The following is a 7,063-nucleotide window of genomic DNA, read 5'->3' on the forward strand; positions in this document are numbered from 1 at the left end:
TGGTGGAAATACAAAATGGCACAGCCACTGTGAAATACAGTTTGGCTTTTTTTTTTTTTAACTAAACTAAAACATAAGCTTACCATATTATCCAGCAATCAGGCTCCTAGGTACTTATGAATTGAAATGTTATGTTCACATAAAAACCTGCACACAGATGTTTTTAACAGCTTTATTCACAATTACCAAAAATTGGAAGCAAGGACAATCAAGATGTCCTTCAGTAGTGAATGCGTAAACAAACTATGGCACATCCGCACAATGGAATATAATTCAGCAATAAAAGGAAACGAGTTATCAAGCCAAAAAGAAAAAAAGAGATGGAGGTACGTTAAATACATATTTCTAAGTGAAAGGAGACCGTCTGAAAGGCTACGTACTGTGTGATTCCAACCATACAACATTCTGGAAAAGGCTGAACTACAGAGACATTAAAGAAAGATCAGTGGTTGCCAGAGACTTGGGGAAAGGGGGATAGATTGGTGAAGTGCGGGGGTATTTTAGGGCAGTGAAACTATTTTGTATGATACTGTAATGGTGGATACCCTGCATTATGCATTTGTCAAAACCAATGGAACTATGCAACAGAAAAAGTAAACCCTAATGTAAATTATGGACTTCAGTTGGTAATTTTATCTCAATATTGGTTCAATTTTTCTGTAAATCTAAAACTGCTTGAAATGTTTTTAAAAATCTTAACATGACTAGTTTTGTTCCTAAAAAAAAAAAAAAAAAATAGTAACATTTAAAATTTCTAGTACCTCCACAGCAAACTCGTGTTCAGACATGGAGAGGAAGGTTTAGGGTCATATGCACAACTAAATGTGATCATTTGTCAAACACTGATTTGATTGTTCCAAGTCAGAGTCAGTTAACTTTCTTAGATCTTTCTTCTTCTTCCTTGGTGAAGTTCACATGCCCAAGTCAAGAAACATTTTAGGTAAAGGGCAAACTACTTGAAAACTTCCATTAACAGCCAAACGTGTGATGACTAAATGAAAAGCAATAAAAAGCAGGGCCCTTCACCACCACTGTTGCCATCCCAGAAATGTCTAAGCAAGCATTTAAATGCTTTTCTCTTTCCTTCCAGGCCTTGCAATTGCCAGTGCCCTAATAGATATTTCACAACAGAAAGCTTCAGATAGTAAAGATAAGACTTCTGGAGTCCGGAATCGAAAACACCTTTCAACACGTCAAGGAACTTGTGTCTGAGAAATGGAAACCGCTCCTGTATATTCTGTACTGTTTTACTTCGGGCTTCTGTTAAAGCTGTTCTATGGCCTTGGATTTTATGGAGGCAGATCTCTGTATCATCCAGAGCCTGAGTACAGTTTCCTTCCAAATGGACAATGACCCAGGTGGCCAAAGAATGTTCATGAGTTTTATAAAAGTATTGATGGTCACAGGTGATAAAGTCAGTTTTTACCACTATCTTAGGCTTATTATAGCTAACATTAAATTACTCTGGAAAAAGATGTATATTGTTTCTTAATGAAGATGAAAAATATGTAATTCATATAAATCAACTGTTTATATCCCAAGACTTGAAAGAAAGACATTTTTTAATGCCTGAATGATGAGAATTGTACAGTTTTTGCCTCATAAGCAAACTTGAATCACCTGTGTATGAACAGGGAATGAACACATTGCAATGGCTTTAAATGCTCTTTTATCTCGTTGTAAAGGTAAGGCAAGATTTTGATGTAGTAGGATGTAGGTAATGTATTTAAATATTTCATATGACCATATCGTGTCCAAACTCAGTCTGAGAATGTGACAGCTTTCCGCCTAACTAGAATGCAGACCAGAATGAGTTCAACTCATTCTGTGCAACTTCACAGGGGGTTTATTAGAATGCTCAGTGTAGAGGACATTCCTGTCATCCATGCCAACTACCTAACTCGTTATCAGAGCTGATAGAGCATGGAAAAGTCTGTCCAGCGATCAGTTGTTCCCCTCCTTCCAAAAACAGCCTCCAATACCACAACCTGAAAAGAGCCGAAATGGTTATTTTACAGCATACAAGCTTCTGCTCCAGTATGATAATTTTTAATTGCCTAAGAATCATTGGATCAGACCTAAATGATCCATCTGCATTTTTATAAGAATGGATCTTTCTTTGCCCTTCCTCTCCTAGCTGCTAGATTTTAACTACCTTTTACAAATGTTACAAAATGTATTTTAGAGGCGACATCTCTCAAGATGACCTGAGTTCCTTCCTGCCAACTGTTCCACCTAGAATACAAGTAGAGAAGAGCACTGGCTGGCAAGCATCAACAGGAGTCTTCTTCCCAACACGAGCGCATCCATGTCCTGAGAAAAAGTCTGTGGTTTAGAAAATATGTCCATGGTTGCCCACAGTCAGCACACTCTTAGTGACTCAAAATTCTGAATTATGGCAGAAAGGAAAAATAAAACATACTTCACATTAGAACACAGAATCATTTACATCCTAATACTGACCACAGTTCACTAAAGCTCAGTAGCATTAACAGATATAGTTTGGAATTGCAGTTTCCTCACTTCAGGGTGACAAGATATGTATAACAGTGACAGAAATCTCCAAAGCTGCTGTATATGATATAGCTTTGTTAAATATGAAGGTCCTTTAAATACAATTGATGTTTAGTACTATATATGTACTTTTCACATTCTTTGGATTTCTGGAAGGTTATGACACTTTACTGTTTACAGCTAATGCATAGTTACTTGCATGCCATGGTTGTACAGTAGCAGACTATGACCCTATTGTGATATTAAGTGTTTATTTCATAATGCCATTTATACATAGCTGAATTTGATGAGGATTGAATGTCATATATAAGAGGAATGATCATACAATATGTAGTTGCATCTTATATAAGATTTCTAGGTTGCATCTAACCATGACTATGTCATTATTTTGATAATTAGGCATTTATGAATTATAGTATATATTCCTCATGTTGGCATGATAATTTTGCTATTTTCCATGCATTAAAAATAAGACAAATTCTTAGAGTAATTTTAGTAATTTTATCTATAATCTGTGGGGTTTTTTTGGAGGGGGAGGCCACTGGTTGTTTCTACTTCCCTGTGATATTTTCTCTCTCATTAAAGGAATGAGCTAAGTTTGTAAATATCTCCTAAAAACAATCAAGTAATTTTATTAGCTTCTTTTGGACCCTCTAAATATTGACTTCTCTCATGAAAAAATAAATTGATGAAACTAATGATTACAAAGATATAATCATTTTTTAAAAAGTGATTGCCCAATGTATTTCTCTAACAATTGTCACAAGAGAAAGCATAACAATAAAAATACAAAAACATACAGATTTAGATGTAAAATCTATATAAGCTATATTTTTAGGGAGGCTAAGCAGATAGTATTACTGTGGAAGAATTATCAAGTTTTATTCACCTCAAATCCCACTGGGTTCTTAAAACTTGAAAATTCAAATTGTAGAGAATTATGAGACACAATGTGATGTTTAGTTAAAGTCATGCTATACCTTTCTGGGCCACATATTGCTAACTCTGTGGCTAATTATGCAATTAATTCTCAACGTATCAAAGCTTTTCACTGGCAGTAAATTCTTTGCCCTCAGGTGAAGTGGATTGAAAAGACATCAAGGATCAAGGATAATCACTTTGAATCTGTTGGTTTTTCCCCCTACATTCCAGACACTTTAAATTTGGATGCTTTCATTTTTTTTAAATCAAACCACACAAATATGCAGATACTTTCCCAGAATTTCGCAGTTAAATGGCTGATCCTCTTGAAAACTAACCTTAATGGAATTCTAAACATTTCAGTTTAGAATGACTTTGAAAAATTCCTTAGATTTTTAGGATGTTTTATTCTGCCAAGTATGAAAAAAAAATGGTTAAATACAATGGAGTTTTAAAAATTAACCTGGGGATTCTATTTGAACTAGAAAATTCCTATTGGAAAAGAATTTGCACATACTTACAGATTCAGCTAATAAATTTTAAGAGGATTAGGATTCTCATAATTCTTTAAATGAAAATTTGTTTTAGTGATACACAGAGATGCCGTATACTATAGTGTTATGTTCAGTAGGAAAACTTCAAATAGTTCGTATTTAAAAAGGTAATTGATCCTTGCTGTACTTCCCAACATCTCATCTTCTTTTAGCTGCAGTAAGATAGAGGTGACTGTATGGCTACAGTTCATGGTATAAGGTCATTTAGGGTGCACACTGGCACACAGGCTGGAAAACGGGCACTGGACCCAGCTTTCAGGTGTGTGGTGCTGGGTAAGTTTCACCTTTGAAGCCTCAGCCTTCCATCTGTAAAGGGCGGTAATGGTGCCCACCTTTCGAGGCATTGCGAGGCTAGATGGTAACACACAGAAAGCTCCCACAGTGGGACCTTGATGCAGCGTAGCTGGTATTAACAACCGTGGGGACACCAGGCCACTCTTTTTCTACCAGTTGTTTTATGAATCCACCTATTAATTTTCATCCATCTTTTGGTCGTAGGTAAAGGTCAATCAGGTTTTTCAAAAAGACTCCCTGAATAACTTAAGTTCCTGTATTTCTAAGATATAGGGATTTCTACAAAACGACTTTGACATTTAGTCAATAAAGACTTAAACTCTTCTTAAATCTATAGTTTTAGGAGAGTTTTTCTTAAAATTACTGACTGATGACATTGAGACAAGAGCATCAATGATCACCTTTCACGTACAAACTAGGCAAGACAGGGTCAGTGCTTACATTTTGTGGTTATACATGATACATCTTTTCTCAGTGAACATAAAACTATGATTTGAAAGGTGTCTTATATTTAAAAAAGATTGTAAAATGAAAACTGACCAAATGAACTAATTCTACCCACCTATGGTCTTTTTAAATGTCGAGTTTCAAAACCCATTTGCCGTATACTAGAGTGAGCTTGGAAACTTACCTGATTACAGGAATTGCTTGGGTTCAGGCAGATTCCCACTTTCACCTCTAGAGATTTAGATTCAGAAACACTGGGGTAGGCCCTGGAGAGCAGTACTCTTAACAAGCTCCTCAGTGCTTCTTACCATTAGGCAAATTAGGGAAACACTGCATTGGGTCAAAGTGCTGCCTTTAATCGACCATTAGAGGGAGTTCTCTAAATAACAAAGTTATTACTCTAATTCAAAATGCTTTAAAGAATTTTCCAAGGAATACAAGCCATCTGGTTGGTGTTAGTTATAGCAGTGATTTCATTAGAGTGTACATTTAACATTTTAGTTTTATCAAAATTTTTTGAAATTAAGAATTAGAACCAGAGCTCCTATCAGTATATATGTACACAGGTGTGCATGCCAGTGTTCAAAAGATTGTGTAAAAGTTCAAGCCCGTTTTAGAAAGCCAACATTTTATGTTATAATATGCTGTTAATCAGGACTTTATTAAATAAAAACATTGGCTCTTCCAACCCCCACTGCCAAATGCAGTTTTGTTTTGTTTTTGTTTGTGTTTTATCCTTTCGTGGTCACACAGGAAAAAGCACTCTGAGAACTTGAAAAAGCCCCTCTCCATCGAAGAGGTGATTATATAGTTTGTTATTGAATTTTGACATTCAAAATACATTTCCCCCTCTTTTTCTCTTCACCAGATTTGCATTGACCTTTCCTGTACGTTCTCTGTGAGGGGCTTGCTGAGCACTTGGAATGTTCCTGAGAATTAAAGGCAAAACTCACAAGGCCCAGCAGCTAAGAATCTAGCTATAATGAGGGTCTACGCCACAGGACATGTGTTATAGAAATTGCTCTTACTTAGAATAAAAGTCAGCTATCTGAGACCAGGGCAGCTCTGGCATAGCTGACTCTTCTGGGAAAAGCCTGCAGGTTCTCTGGTAAGCTCTGGGCTTGGTCCTTATGTGGCCATCTGGGGCCCAGCCTTCTTTCAGTGGCACTGCTCTGCTAGGCCTCTGTAAGGTCTCACCGAGAAGAAAACCAAGGAGGATCTAAACTTCTCTCTTCTCTCCAACCCCCTCCCCCCACACCACCTGGGCCCAGCACCTGGGATACCTTCTGGGCTCAGGGCCTCAAGCAGGCTCTTCCAGGACCCTGACCTGAGGCCTAACCCTGAGGCCGGCCCTGCCTGTGCTCCAGAGGTTGGAATGGTGGTCTCCTCCCCGTCGCACCTCCAAGAGGCCAGGCCAGGAAGGGGCTGGGAAGAAGAGGACCACCGAACCTTGAGAAACATGCCCAGCCTGGCTGCCGCCTCCCAGGAACATCAGAGAAGAAAGAGAAGCTTTTCGAGGGTCCTGGATGAAGATGCGCCCAAAGTAGGTAGAGGGCTGTTGGGTGGACTCTCGCCACAGACAGCAGCAGCTGCTCTGTGAATATCTAAGCCTTGCACACTCTCCTTTTCAGCTTTTTGATGGTGGATCAGTGGCTGTAAGGAGATTTGGAAAGTTTAGCTTAAAACTGACTTTTCTCTGGCCTAAAAGGATTTGCTCAGAGAAATCACCTGTGAGTGGCGGATGTGCGTGATAGGCGTTCTTTCAGCTCCAACCTATAACCCTTTTGGTAAACACACAATTCCTGCTCCAGATTCTTACATGCTTCCTCGCTTGTTTAGAATCAGGGTACCTGGCATGGCCATGGCAGCCAAGAGATTATCAAGCTTTACCTTCTCCAGCCCTACTATGAAAATAGCTACTATTGTTTTGTTTTCCAAATATGAAACAACAGTATAATTTTAAATGAGCTTCTGTAAACTACACCCCCCACCCCCCACCCCCATTCTAACCTTCTCCCACTTCAGGGATTGGGTGCAGAGTAGTTTTAATTGAACAAGAAACCAAACCCCTGAAAGACCATTGCAGAAACACTATATTCTCACCGTCAAAAGCTTTAACCCGTGTTATTTTTGGCAGAAGTGGTATTTTCTGGTTACTTTTGGCAGAAGTGGTATTTTCTGGTTATTTTTGGCAGAAGTGGCATTTTCTGGTTATTTTTGGCAGAAGTAGTATCTGGCCTGAGTGGTATTCACTCAGGGAAGATAGTTGTTTAAACATGAGTTTCTTTAGCCTGGCTGTGTGCACAGTCAGGAAATCTCACTCTAGAAAATCT

General features: G+C 38.2%; 1 protein-coding gene across 7 annotated transcripts in view; it reads left to right on the forward strand.

The window, feature by feature from the left end:
* ATRNL1 (attractin like 1) overlaps nucleotides 1-5,432 on the forward strand; it is an 855,635-nt gene extending 850,203 nt beyond the window's left edge. For all 7 annotated transcript variants that reach the window (NM_207303.4, XM_011539587.2, XM_011539588.3 and 4 more), the window contains one exon: nucleotides 1,091-5,432. In NM_207303.4, coding sequence (NP_997186.1) covers nucleotides 1,091-1,212 — 122 coding nt within the window. In that variant the 3' untranslated portion in view covers nucleotides 1,213-5,432. The remainder of the gene's footprint in view (nucleotides 1-1,090) is intronic.
* Nucleotides 5,433-7,063: the final 1,631 nt, after the last annotated feature.

The sequence above is a fragment of the Homo sapiens genome, chromosome 10 (assembly GCF_000001405.40).
Source record: "Homo sapiens chromosome 10, GRCh38.p14 Primary Assembly".
NCBI classification, from domain to species: Eukaryota; Metazoa; Chordata; class Mammalia; order Primates; family Hominidae; genus Homo; species Homo sapiens.